The 15,340-nt window shown below is 38.9% G+C and overlaps 1 long non-coding RNA gene across 1 annotated transcript; it reads right to left on the bottom strand.

Annotated features, from left to right (window-relative positions):
- Window positions 1–230: 230 nt before the first annotated feature.
- LINC00901 (long intergenic non-protein coding RNA 901) lies at window positions 231–11,038 on the bottom strand. The gene is made up of 2 exons (NR_121607.1): window positions 10,909–11,038; window positions 231–1,552 (listed from the first exon to the last, which is right to left on the bottom strand). It is a non-coding gene; the product is annotated as a long intergenic non-protein coding RNA 901 (long non-coding RNA).
- Window positions 11,039–15,340: the final 4,302 nt, after the last annotated feature.

The raw sequence follows: 15,340 nt of genomic DNA, 5'->3' as shown, positions 1-15,340 counted from the left end.
ATCTGTGTCTGGGTTCCAGGCAGGAGAAAGGGACAGGGTGGGTGGGAAGGGAGAATGGAAAAGGCTGAGGGTGGGAGGTGGGGCTGGTGGGCAGCTCAACTGGGCCCATTGAAATACCATCTGCCTTGTCACCAAATGGCAGAGGCCAACAATTTGCACAACATGATTAGTACTGGAAAGCAAATTAAACAATTATTACAGGGAGGCAATCAATTGGTACCTGGCAGTAGGCTGTGAGAAGATCTGTCAGTCTTCTTTATTAATTGAAGAAATGTCTTCAGGGGAGCACTTTCTAAGTATGCTTACTTAGTTACAGCAAAGGCTCAATCTCTTAGCAAGCAACCCATTATTATTATTAGCAGTAATATAATAATAATAACAATAATAGCAAATATTTTCTCTGGAATAGCAAATCTCAGAGGGTATTTTTATTGCTAATATTATTAGTGTTATGAGGGTATCTTTCTCATGCTGGGCTCTAATCGCCATTTTTATGAGTACTGTATATTCTTTCGTTTAGGCAAAAGGATTTATTTATGAAGGGACTTTTTTCCTTCCTGCACTACTGCTCTGAAGCTTAACTGTTTGTAAGAGGAGCATGCCATACTTAGAGGGTGATATATGTTATCAGTGGAATGCTGCCTTCTCAAATAAGGTAGCTGCAATGTCACTAAATGCTCAATAGCATATGAGCATGAATTTTGAGTTTTCTTTCGTCTATTTTTTCCAAGTGTAGCTTGGCAATGACTAGCTATATTATAGCAGGGATTCCAGTATCAGGTAAGAAACTGTACTTTTAAAAATGGTTCCTTCTAACCCGAGAATCAACAATTTTATGTGTGATGATGTAATATGAAGAATGCCAAATGATCAAGAGAGAGATCTGTGCTGCTTTTGGTAGAATAGCATGGCTGAAATCATGCTTCAAATAATAGTCAGAACATTTAGTGAGCTTTCTTACCCTGGGCCAGTGAGGGCAATGTCAGGAAGACTACCTCTGTCAGACCTAGTGCTTGGATAAAGGACAAAAATTCAGGTTATCTTCCTGCCGCTTATGACATTTTGGGAACATCTCAGGCGGGATATAGAAACTAAATATGCCTAGTAGTCAAATAAGAGTAAGTACTAGCAGCTGAGATCCAGAGTGTGCTGAAAAGTTTTAGGCAGGGCTGGTTGGCAGGTGAATCTTGTTACCTCATTTCATCTCTCTATCTCTCTCACACATACACACGCATATACACAGGCTCCCCTCTTTGCCCTCCACACTTTTTCTCTCTATCACCACAGGAGAGTATTTTTTACTCCAAGTTCTGAGACAACTCCTTTCTTTGCCCTTTGTCAGTGGGAGGAGACATCTTCTAGGCCTGTGCTTCTCAGTCTTTTGTTTGTATATGAGTCACTGGGGATCTTGTTAAAATGCAGGTTCTAATTCGGTGTGTCTGGAGTAGGGCTTGACGTTGCGCATGTCTAATAAAACTCTTAGGCGATGGAGATGCTGCTGGTGAGTAGACCAAATCTGGAGTAGGAAGGCTTTACATGCCTCACAGCTGTGCTGATTTGGGGTGGACAGAGGCAGAGAGTAATTCAGAATCTTATCAGTCCAGTAATCAAAACTGTGGGTGAAAGTGGATTAAAGCTCTAAAACAGCCTTGTCCTTCCTGTGGCCCGTGCTCTGCATGCAGTCCTGGACGGCTTTGAATGTGGCCCAATGCAAATTCGTAAACTTGCTTAAAACATTATGAGACTTTTTTGAGGTTTTGTTTTGTTTTGTTTGTTTGTTTTTTGCTTATCAGCTATTGTTAGTGTTAGTGTATTTTATGTGTGGCCCAAGACAATTGTTTTTCTTCTAATGTGGCCCCGGGAAGCCAAAAGACTGGACACCCATGAAAAACATGAGGTTCTCTAAACTCACACACCTGAGGGCCATATTGGTCAAACATCTCAGGGCTATGCTTTTCTTATAACATTAAAAAGCGATCCTCAACAGCTGAGAAAGGGGCCTCTGAGGAGACATTCTAGAATCCTCCCTCCCCCAAATCTGGGTTTACATCTTTAATGAAGGTTCAGGTGTTTTTCTTTATAACTAAAATAATCTTCTAGTATGAGACACAAAGAGATATGGGAAAACAGAAACATAGAGAAAGATAATAAAGAACACATGAAATATCACAAAGGTCATTTTGGTTATGCCTCAATAAAGCTGGAAAAAATATGAAAAGAAAACGGAAATAAAACTTTTAAAATACCATTTCAATAATCTCTCCAACCACCATGTTTTTCTGTTTGGTCTAATGAGTTATATACATAAAGGTATTTTTGAAAGAAAAGCCCGCACCATCCTGCCTGCCATCCTTTGCGCTTCCACAGTAGTCAAGCCCAGTACAGGTCATTAGCATAGTGCTCAGTTTGAGATGGCTTTGAGTGAAGTCCCCAAACAAATTTGATTGCTAAAGGGAACAGGGTTAATTGCCAGCCTCAATGCTTACACACAGAGAGGTAAGCATGCCTCACCAGCTCACAAATAACATGAAAATTAAATTACCCAGCTAACAGGCTGGATGTAGTTTGTTGTTTTTTTTTCTCTTCCTTTTTCTAATGTACATCAACAGATGGAAGGGTTAAAGATGTGACGGTTGGCTCAGACTGAACATGTCCTTTCTGATTCTGGAGTGTTTTTAGTTTCATCTTTGAAATTTGTTGTTTGTTTCATGTTCTTTCTTTGCAGGCTTGGGAAATTAGTCATTTCCTCAGAGAAAATCAGATAGTGGACATAAATCATTGAATCTCTAGGTCATTCATTTCAAACTACCTTAAAGTTCTTTTCACTTCCCAAAGTTCTTATCATATACTGACTGAGGAAAGAATGGATAGCTACATTTTTTTGTAGACAGACAGTTGCTCACATAATTTAAAACCCTACCAGACAAGTAATTATACATCATCTCCCCCTTAGTGCTTTCTACCAAGAAGGCGGAGACAGAGGATGTGTTTCAGATGAGGTGGAGAAAGGGGGTCAGTACCGTATCAGGAAAGCTATGTCCTGCTGTCTTTATTACAAAGGAAAAATGTGCTTTCATCAGAGATTTTACCTAGCAAGTGGGTACTATATATGAAAGAAAGAAAGGGATGAATAATATACTCATTTCTCCTTAATAGGACTGATCTAAAACAAAGTAGCAAAAAGCATAAAATGGTGATAATATACATCAATCAGTTGGAAAATTAGAATAATTTAGATTGTCATAGCATGTACAAAAGTCACATAACCTCTTCATGACAAATATTAGCTGTGCAAGACATTTAAAGTTTCTAAGCCTTACTAAAGTCCTTTTCATCTGTAGAGTGAGGAAAATAATAAATCTGTCCTCCAAGTTTTTTGTGGGGGTAAGAGGTGGAGTAAAATGATATTAGCTCAGTGCCTGGAACACAGCAAGCACTTATTAAACATTAATCATCATTATCATTTCCTTTTTGTAAAGTTTTGGACTAGATTAAGGATTCCTAACCTTTTTATTACCAGGTATCTATTTTGTTACTTTTTCAAGAACATATGTTTGAGAATATTTTCATACCCAACATACTACATTAACCAAGTAATAATTAAATTGTTCTCCCATTTTAGCTGTTCCGAGACATAGAGCAGTCGATTAGCGCTTCAGATGTTTGTAATAATAAGTATTACCACATTGAGTTGACATTCTAATATGAAGTAGAGAAGATCACATTTTAAAATGGCCGAACAGGAACAGCTCTGATCTGCAGCTTCCAGTGAGATCAACTCAGAAGACGGGTGATTTCTGCATTTCCAACTGAGGTACCTGGCTCATCTCACTGGGGCTGGTTAGACAGTGGGTGCAGCCCACGGCTGGTGAGCCAAAGCAGGGTGGTGTGTCACCTCACCCGGGAAGCACAAGGGGTCTGGAAACTTCCTCCCCTAGCCAAGGGAAGCCTTCAGGGACTGTGCCTTGAGGAACAGTGCACTTCGGCCCAGATACTACACTTTTCCCATGGACTTTGCAACCCACAGACCAGGAGATTCCCTCCAGTGCCTATGCCACCAAGGCTCTGGGTTTCAAGCACAAAACTGGGCAGCTGTTTGGGCAGACACTGAGCTAGCTGCAGGAGTTTTTTTTTTATACCCCAGTGGTGCCTGGAATGCCAGCAAGATAGAACTGTTCACTCCCCTGGAAAGGCGGCTAAAGCCAGGGAGCCAAGTGGTCTAGCTCAGCAGATTCCACCCCAACAGAGCCCAGAAAGCTAAGACCCATTGGCTTGAAATTCTGCCTGCCAGCACAGCAGGCTGAAGTCGACCTGGTATGCTCGAGCTTGGTGGGGGGAGGGGCATCCACCATTACTGAGGTGGTTTTCCCATCACAGGCTAAACAAAGCCACTAAGAAGTTCAGACTGGACAGAGCCCACCCCAGTTTGGCAGAGCTGCTGCTGCCAGACTGCCTCTCTAGAGTTTTCCTCGCTGAGCAGGGCATCTCTGAAAGGAAGGCAGCAGCCCCAGTCAGGGGCTTACAGATACAACTCTCATCTCCCTGGGACAGAGCACCTGGGGGAAGGGGCAGCTGTGGGCACAGCTTCAGCAGACTTAAACTTTCCTGCCTACCAGCTCTGAAGAGAGCAGCAGATCTCCCAGCACAGTGCTCGAGCTCTGCTAAGGGACAGACTGCCTCCTCAAGTGGGTCCCTGATGCCCATGCCTCCTGACAGGGAGACACCTCGCAGCAGGGTTTGATAGACAACTCTTACAAGAGAGCTCTGGCTGGCATCTGGCGCATGCCTCTCTGTGACAAAGCTTCCAGAGGAAGGAACAGGCAGCAATTTTTGCTGTTCTGCATCCTCCGCTGGTTATACCCAGGCAAACAAGATCTGGAGTAGACCTCGAGGAAACTCCAGCAGACCTGCAGCAGAGGGGCCTAACTGTTAGAAGGAAAACTAACAAACAGAAAGGAATAGCATCAACATCAACAAAAAGAATGTGCACACAGAAACCTCATCTGAAAGTCACCAACATCAAAGACCAAAGGTAGATAAGTCCACAAAGATGAGGAGAAAACAGCACAAAAAGGCTGAAAATTCCAAAAAGCAGAATGTTTCTTCTCCAAAGGATCACAACTCCTTGCCAGCAAGGGGCAAAAAACTGGATGGAGAAGGAGTTTGATGAATTGACAGAAGTAGGCTTCAGAAGGTGAGTAATAACAAACTCCATCGAGCTAAAGGAGTATGTTCTAACCCGTTGCAAGGAAGCTAAGAACCTTGAAAAAAGGTTAGAGGAATTGCTAACTAGAATAACCAGTTTAGAGAAGAACATAAATGACCTGATGGAGCTAAAAAACACAGCACAAGAACTTCATGAAGCATACACAAGTATCAATAGCTGAATCAATCAAGCAGAAGGATATCACTTAATGAAATAAAGCGTGATGATAAGATTAGAGAAAAAATAATAAAAAAGAATGAACAAAGCCTCCAAGAAATATGGGACTATATGAAAGGACCAAATTTACGTCTGATTGGTGTACCTGAAAGTGATGGGAAGAATTGAACCAAGTTGGAAAACACTCTTCAGGATATTACCCAGGAGAACTTCCCCAACCTAGCAAGATGAGCCAACATTCAAATTCAGAAAATAAAGAGAACACCTCAAGAAGAGCAACCCCAAGACACATAATTGTCAGATTCACCAAGGTTGAAATGAAGGAAAAAATGTTAAGGGCAGCCAGAGAGAAAGGTTGGGTTACCCACAAAGGAAAGCCCATTAGACTAACAGCATATCTCCTGGCAGAAACCCTACAAGCCAGGAGAGAGTGGGGGCCAATATTCAACATTCTTAAAGACAAGAATTTTCAAGCCAGAATTTCATATACAGCCAAACTAAGCTTCATACATGAAGGAGAAATAAAATCCTTTACAGACAAGCAAATGCTGAGAGATTTTCTCACTATGAGGCCTGCCTTAAAAGAGCTCCTGAAAGAAGCACTAAACATGGAAAGGAACAACCAGTACCAGCCACTGCAAAAAACATACCAAATTGTAAAGACCATCGACACTATGAAGAAACTGTATCAACTAACAGGCAAAATAGCCAGCTAGCATCATAATGGCAGAATCAAATTCACACGTAACAATATTAACCTTAAATGTAAATGGGCTAAATGCCTGAATTAAAAGACACCGATTAGCAAATTGAATAAAGTCAGGAACCATCGGTGTGCTGTATTCAGGAGACCCATCTCACATGCAAAGACACACATAGGCTCAAAATAAAGGGATGGAGGAATATTTACCAAGCAAATGGAAAGCAAAAAAAAGCAGGGGTTGCAATCCTAGTCTCTGATAAAACACACTTTAAACCAACAAAGATCAAAAAAACCAAAGAAGGGCATTACATAATGGTAAAGAGATCAATGCAACAAGAACAGCTAACTATCCTAAATATATATGCATCCAATACAGGAGCACCCAGATTCATAAAGCAAGTTCTTAGAGACATACAAAGAAACTTAGACTCCCACACAATAATAGTGGGAGACTTTAACACCCCACTGTCAATATTAGACAGATCAATGAGACAGAAAATTAACAAGGATATTCAGGACTTGAATTCAGCTCTGGACCAAGCAGACCTAATAGATAGATAACTACAGAATTCTCCATCCCAAATCAACAGAATATACATTCTTTTCAGCACCACATAGCACTTATTCTAAAATCGACCACATAATTGGAAGTAAAACACTCCTCAGCAAATGCAAAACAATGGAAATCACAACAGTCTCTCAGACCACAGTGCAATCAAATTAGAACTCAGAATTAAAAAACTCACTCAGAACTGCGCAACTACATGGAAACTGAACAACCTGCTCCTGAATGACTACTGGGTAAATAATGAAATTAAGGCAGAAATGAATAAGTTATTTGAAACCAATGAGAACAAAGACACAATGTATGAGAATCTCTGGGACACAGCTAAAGCAGTCTGTAGAGGGAAATTTATAGCACTAAATGCCCACAGAAGAGAGCAGGAAAGATCTAAAACTGACACCCTAACATCACAATTAAAAGAACTAGAGAGGCCAGGTGTGGTGGCTCATGCCTATAATACCAGCACTTTGGGAGGCTGAGGTGGATGGATTACCTGAAGTTGGGAGTTTGAGACTAGCCTGACCAACATGGAGAAACCTTCTCTCTACTAAAAATACAAAATTAATTGGATGTGGTGGAGCATGCCTGTAATCCTAGCTACTCAGGAGGCTGAGACAGGAGAATCGCTTGAACCCGAGAGGCGGAGGTTGCGGTGAGCTGAGATCATGCCATTGCACTCCAGCCTGGGCAACAAGAGCAAAACTCCATCCTCCCCACTCCCCCCACAAAAAAAAGAACTAAAGAAGCAAGAGCAAACAACTTCAAAAGCTAGTAGAAGACAAGAAATAACTAAGATCAGAGCAGAACTCAAGGAGATAGAGACATGAAAAACCCTTCAAAAAATTAATGAATCCAAGAGCTGGTTTTTTGAAAAGATCAACAAAATAGGTAGACCACTAGCCAGACTAATAAAGAAGAAAAGAGAGAAGAATCAAATAGACACAGTAAAAACGATAAAGGCGATATCACCACTGATCCCACAGAAATACAAACTACCATCAGTGAATACTATAAACACCTCTACACAAATAAATTAGAAAATCTAGAAGAAATGGATAAATTCCCGACACATACACCCTACCAAGACTAAACCAGGAAGAAGTCAAATCCCTAAATAGGGATTATCCCTTGGAACAAGTTATGAAATTGAGGCAGTAATTAATAGCCTAGCAACCAAAAAAAGCCCAGGACCAGACGGATTCACAGCTGAATTCTACCAGAGGTACAAAAAGGAGCTGGTACCATTCCTTCTGAAACTATTCCAAACAATAGAAAAAGAGGGACGCCTCCCTAACTCGTTTTATGAGGCCAGCATCATCCTGATACCAAAACCTGGCAGACACAACAAAAAAAGAAAATTTCAGGCCAGTATCCCTGATGAACATCAACGCAAAAATCCTCAATAAAATCTTGGCTGGTTCAACATATGCAAATCAATAAATGTAATCCATCACATAAACAGAACCAATGACAAAAACCCACATGATTATCTCAATAGATGCAGAAAAGGCCTTCGACGAAATTCAACACCACTTCATGCTAAAAATTCTCGATAAACTAGGTATTGATGGAACGTATCTCAAAATAGTAAGAGCTATTTATGACAAACCCACAGCCAATATCATACTGAATGGGCACAAGCTGGAAGTATTCCCTTTGAAAACTGGCACAAGACAAGAATGCCCTCTCTTACCACTCCTGTTCAACACAGTATTGGAAGTTCTGGCCAGGGCAATCACCCAAGAGAAAGAAATACAGGGTATTCAAATAGGAAGTGAGAAAGTCAAATTGTCTCTGTTTGCAGATGGCATGATTGTATATTTAGAAAACCCCATCGTCCCAGCCCAAAGTCTCCTTAAGCTGATAAGCAACTTCAGCAAAGTCTCAGGATACAAAATCAATGTGCAAAAATCACAAGCATTCCTATACACCAATAATAGACAAACAGAGGGCCAAATCATGAGTGAACTCCCAGTCACAATTGCTACAAAGAGAATAAAATACCTAGGAATCCAACTTACAAGGGATGTGTAGGACCTCTTCAAGGAGAACTACAGACCACTGCTCAAGGAAATAAGAAAGGACATAAACAAATGGAAAAAACATTTCATGCTCATGGTTATGAAAAATCAATATCGTGAAAATGGCCATAGTTCCCAAAGTAATTTAAAAATTCAATGCTGTCCCATCAAGCTACCATTGACTTTCTTCACAGAATTAGAAAAAACTACTTTAAATTTCATATGGAACCTAAAAAGAGCCTGTGTAGTCAAGACAATCCTAAGCAAAAAGAACAAAGCTGGAGACGTCACGCTACATGACTTTAAACTATACTACAAGTCTACAGTAACCAAAACAGCATGGTACTGGTACCAAAACAGATACAGACAAATGGAATAGAACAGAGGCCTCAGAAATAACACCATACATCTACAACCATCTGATCTTTGACAAAAAACCTGACAAAAACAAGCAATGGGGAAAGGATCTCCTATCCAATAAATGATGCTGGGGAAACTGGCTAGCCATATGCAGAAAACTGAAACTGGACCCCTTCTTTACAACTTATATAAAAATTAACTCAAGATGGATTAAAGACTTAAAGCTAAGACCTAAAACCATAAAAACCCTAGAAGTAAACCTAGGCAATACCATTCAGAACACAGGCATGTGGACAAAGCCTTCATGAGTAAAACACCAAAAGCAATGGCAACAAAAGCCAAAATAGACAAGTGGGATCTAATTAAACTAAAGAGCTTCTGCGTGGCAAAAGAAACTATCATCAGAGTGAACAGGCAGCCTACAGAATGGGAGAAAAATTTTGCGATCTATCCATCTGACAAAGGGCTAATATCCAGAATCTACAAGGAGCTTAAACAAATTTACAAGGAAAAAAAAACCCCATCAAAAAGTGGGCGAAGGATATGAACAGACACTTCTCAAAAGAAGACATCTATACAACCAACAAACATGAAAAAAAGCTCATCATCATTGGTCATTAGATAAATGCAAATCAAAACCACAATGAGATACCATCTCATGCCAGTTAGAATGGTGATCATTAGAAAGTCAGGAAACAACAGATGCTGGAGAGGATGTGGAGAACCAGGTATGCTTTTACACTGTTGGTGGGAGTGTAAATTAGTTCAACCATTGTGGAAGACAGTGTGGTGATTCCTCAAGGATCTAGAACCAGAAATACCATTTGACCCAGCAATCCCATTACTGGGTATATACTCAAAAAATTATAAATCATTCTATGAAGACACATGCACACGTATGTTTATTGCAGTGCTGTTCACAATAGCAAAGACTTGGAACCAACCCAAATGCCTATCAATGATAGACTGGATGAAGCAAATGTGGCACATATACACCATGGAATACTATGCAGCCATAGAAAGAATGAGTTTATGTCCTTTGCAGGGTCATGGATGAAGCTGGAAACCATCATTCTCAGCAAACTAACACAAGAACAGAAAACCAAACACTGCATGTTCTCACTTGTATGTGGGAGTTGAACAATGAGAACACATGGAGACAGGGAGGGGAACATCACACACCAGGGCCTGTTGTGGGATGGGGGGACTAGGGGAGGGATAGTATTAGGAAAATTACCTAAGGTAGATGATGGGTTGATGGGTGCAGCAAACCACCATGGCACGCGTATACCTATGTAACAAAGCTGCATGCTCTTCATATGTATCTAAGAACTTAAAAGTATAATAAAGAAGATCATATTTTAACTAAATCATGTTAAACTATTCAGTTTTATCTTGAATGAATATGAGCTGATTATTCAAAACATCTCAAGAACCTAGTTGTTCAGAGACCCTGGACAAGGACAGTCTGTAAAGTCGTTTCTATAACTAAAGCTCTATTATCCCGTGGTTGAAAATTCTTCAATGCCAGATAGAACCATTATGTGATTTCAGGGACACTGGAAGGTATCTCCACCCCTTCTGAAATCCCATCAACTGCATGACACCTGCAGTTTATCTTGCAACTGGATCACAATGAATGCAAGAATAATAGGACGGCTGGGATCTCATTCAAAGCTGCTCAGAATACTTACTATACTTACTATGCTTTCTTAACCAAGAAATCAAAATCCAGAAAGTGAACACCAGCATACTCAAACCAGTTAGTGCCATAGTCAGTATATCAGACAACCTTCCCAAGGTGAAGAGGGATGTGATCTTCCTCTGGCAAGAGGAATAAAACTATCAAATCTGAAATAAATAGAAATTATTTTACCTTTCACACATTTTCATAATTTCCCCTGCTGCTTCAGCTAATTAATTATCAATGCTATTTGTGTTTAGACAGAAGGGTTTGTCTCCTTCACAGCCCATCTGCTTCTTGGTAACCTTGCTGTGAAGTCATTGCACAGCAGAGTTGCTGATAAAGCTATCATCTCCATGACAACCTGCTGCTATGTCACAAATGCAGGAGTGTGACCTCACTGCAGCTAAAAGGAGAAATCAAACTGGTGTCTGATGTGCGAGGCAATAGGAATTTTTAATTAGACACATAGTTTATTCACTTTTCCCTAGAAATATGAGAAGGATCCTTATAGAGAAATATTACTACAATAACCTTACTGCTAATTATTAAATATTAAATGAACATTTTAATATTAGTGGTACAATATACATGTGCAAGTGGTTATACTTGGGTGAAATGTCCTATGTAAATATTGTATTCATATCCTGAAAACATTCTATAATTATTTTGTTATATATCTCCCAGCAAAGATGACTCATCTTCTGGTATGATATTTACCAAGCTTGAGAAAGTAAGCAGCTTCTTCCTCACTGATTACATCTATTTGTACAGCAACCCATATACTGAAGGGGAATTGTGACATGTAGCCACTGTATCTCTCTTAGAGAAGAAGCTAAACACACTGAGTGAGAAGGTGAATTCTGAAATCGACCCACAGGAACTGTTACCATAAGTTCTGATCAGCGTGTTGTTTTCTTCTTTGGATGGTTGGTTAACTAGTTACTCAGTTGTAAGATGTGGGCAGTAAATATTACAACCTGGAAGTGCTGCATCTCTCTAGCTGTCGGAGAGCTAAGGCGACATCATTCATTGGCCATTTGTTGTGTGTGCATGTACTAGATACTGTTTAGAGGAAAAAAACTAGAAGAGGTGCACAGCCTGTACCCTGTAGTTGTTTAGCATGTTATGGGAGATTGGCAGGATCAACAGGTACCTGAAAGCACAAGGGGATGTAGAATTGTCATATTTCAAGATTAATTTATATAGGTGCTAGGTATAGAAATAAAAGAAAAAGACATCAGACAAACTTCACATTAGATGGAAATTTTCAAATTGATGATTAGAAAGTAAGAATATGAAACAGCATCTTCTAAGTGTTTACTATGTGTGAGGCACCATGCTAAGCACTTTGCATTCTTCATATCGTTTAATCCTTTCAACAACCCTAGGACATAGGCTTTATGGTACATTTTATAGATGAGAGGATTATGGTATATTTTATAGTTTGGGGGTTAAGTAACTTGTCCAAATCAGTAGGCAGCAAATTGGCAAATTTCAGAACCTGTGTATTCCAGAACCTACAAATTTATGGCAAATTTATGCTGCCTGGGAAGATCAGATAGGAAAATTGCATAAACACAGTTCAGAGATGATAATAGGCAACATCCTATCGAGGACCAGTCAAATCCCCTTTGTTCCACTCTTCTCATTTGAAGTGACCTAAGGCATTGCCGGATGGACTGACTTCCCTACAGCTTTACCCATAATCCCTTCAAATTCAAAAATACCTTTTTCTTTCTTGTAACACTAAAGAAATATAGAAGCCAGCATATGTTACTTGAAAATACTTCCATTCTTGGAATCTTCCACCTTTGAACATTCTGGATTTTTAAGAATTAACTGAACTGTGTGGGAAGACTCAGCAGGATTAATATATTGATGGAAATGATGGATTCTACTTTTTCCTCACTTGCCTGCGTACTTAAAACTGCAGTTATTTATACACTGTGGTTTAGGCATCTTCTCCATTATATAACATCCATTGATCTATAACACTCATATGCTTTCCGATATAAATATTTCATCCATTGTACTTGTGTGTATTGTGCTCTCATTTGTCCCTGGAAACATTAAAGAGGAAAGATACTTGGATGAGTTAAGAGACAACAGGGTATTCTTAAAGCTGAATAAGTTAGATTTGTGTAAATGGGGATGGGAATTACTGGTTGGCCTTAAAGTTTAGGTTCTAAATTGGAGGCAACTGAATGGTACCAAACATTACTTATCAGGAATGTTGTAGGAGCTAGAAGAAATGTTGTTTAGCTTTTCCTTGCTTATATAAACTCATACAAAATTTACATTTTTAAGAGGAAAAAGCAGAAACGAGATCAAACTGTTCCCAGTTAGATAATTTGATTTTTTTTTACACAACAGTGTCACCAGGACATTAAGCACACATTATAAATAGGCATACTTCATTCATTTTAATCAGTGCGTAGTGACTTAATCTGTTTCTTTTTACAGATGAAGTTGTTTTCATGGTTTTTGTTTTTATTGTGTGGTTTGTTTTATTTTGTTTTGCTATTATGAAGAATGTTGCAATGAACCCCTTTATACATATATTTTGCAAAATTGGTGACTATCTCTGTAGGATAAGTTCTTAGAAATAGAATTGTTAGGTCAAAGGAAATACGGATTACATATTTTTATGGATATTGCCAAAGATTGTACAAAGTGCATCAATGTAAATGCCCACCAAAAGTGTATCTAGTATTTCAATGTATTTCCCTTCAGTGTTATGTAGCAGAAAAGTTTTAAATTTTTACAGTTTTGATGTTTTGTTCTTCTATAAATTGTCCATGTTATTGTTCTCATTTTTTCTATTGAATAGTTTAAAATTTCATCCATGGCCAGGTACGGTGGCCTATGCCTATAATCCCAGGATTTTGGAAGGCTGAGGCGGGTGGATCACCTGAGGTAGGGAGTTCGAGACCAACCTTGCTAACATGGTAAAACCCCATCTCTACAAAAAATACAAAAATTAACTGGGCATGGTCGCACGCGTCTGTAATCCTAGCTACTCGGGAGGCTGAGGCATGAGAATCCCTTGAGCCTGGGACGCAGAGGCTGCAGTGAGCTGAGACTGCACCACTGCACACCAGCCTGGATGACAGCGTAAGACTCTGTCACCCACCTCCACAAAAATAAATATATAAAATAAAATTTGATTTGTAAAATGATTTTAATATTGAACATATTAATCCTTAGACTATCATATTGGATAGAAATAGCTTTCACAACTATCATTTTTCTTTTGACTTAGTTTATGATAAATTGGAAAGTGGCAGGAGTTTTAAAATTTTATACAAATTTATCAAATGTTTTATGGCTTCTTGGTTGTAATTTTCCCCTTCAGGTATTTTAGGAAAAAAATTATATATTTCTATTTCATCCTTATTGGTCTTTTTTTCTGTTTATATATTTATTTATTATTTTTTCTACTTGGACATTATCTTCATGTATGATATAAGAAAGGGATCCAGTCATATTTTTTAAAATACTAGACCAGTGTTGCAACAACATGTTTTTAAAATCTACCTTTTACTCACCCTTATCAAATGTTAAATCCCCTGAAGTATTTATCTCTCCATATTATTTTCCTTGTTCATTGTCATTCTGAAAACCTGAGCCACTATAAACTGTATAAAGTATTGTAGCTCAGTGTTTTAATATTTAGTAGTCTCAGTTTCCCTTCTTTTATTTTATTTTATTTTATTTCATTTTTTGAGACAGGATCTCACTGCACTGTGGTTGCCCAGGCTGGAGTGCAGTGGCAGAATCTCGGCTCACTGAAGCCTTGACCTCCCAGGCTCAGGTAATTCTCTGACCTCAGCCTCCTGAGTAACTGGGACTTCAGGCGTGTGCCACCATGCCTGGCTATTTTTTTTTTTTTTTTTTTTATGGTAGAGACAGGGTTTCATCATGTTGTCTAGGCTGGTCTCAACCTCCTGGACTCAGGCAATCTGCCAGCCTCAGCCTCCCAAAGTATTGGGATTGCGGGTGAGCTATAGCATCCAACCCAGGCCACCACACCTGGCCGACTTTTCTTTTTTAAATTTTATTTTGTTTTTATCCTGACTTTTCTATGCGCTTTTTTTTCCATGTAAAACTTTGGTCATCTTCGTACTTCAGTTGAGATTGTGCTAATTTTTATAGAGAAGTGCTATCATTATAATATTGAATCTTGATCCTAGAATAACATGTTTTTCCATTTATTCATTTTTAGATCCACAGGGTAACTAAATATTAATATATTCCTTTCTTAGTTTTTATAATAACCTTTATAAATTCTGAGATAAAATAATATTGATCATCAAACATCTAAAATGTTTTTATTTTCATTACTGATTCCATTTTCCTGATGTCATTGCTTTGTGTCTTCTCATTTAACCTTGGAAATTTAAAAATTTCACAGCAGTGAATTAGTCCATCCAAATTTTGGAGACTAGCTTTTTAGCTGTGAAGGGTTAGTCAACAGTATTTGAATAATGGCGAATATTACAAACAGTGTAGAGCAACTGCCTCTTATTGCCTTTTACTTGGTGTACAGTCATTACTGGTGCAGAATTGAGTGATTTGGATGAAGTTTGCTTAAGGATCACTGTCATTATATATTTATGAA

The sequence above is a fragment of the Homo sapiens genome, chromosome 3 (genome assembly GCF_000001405.40).
Source record: "Homo sapiens chromosome 3, GRCh38.p14 Primary Assembly".
Taxonomy (NCBI): domain Eukaryota; kingdom Metazoa; phylum Chordata; class Mammalia; order Primates; family Hominidae; genus Homo; species Homo sapiens.
This window is presented reverse-complemented; position numbering and strand designations above follow the sequence as displayed.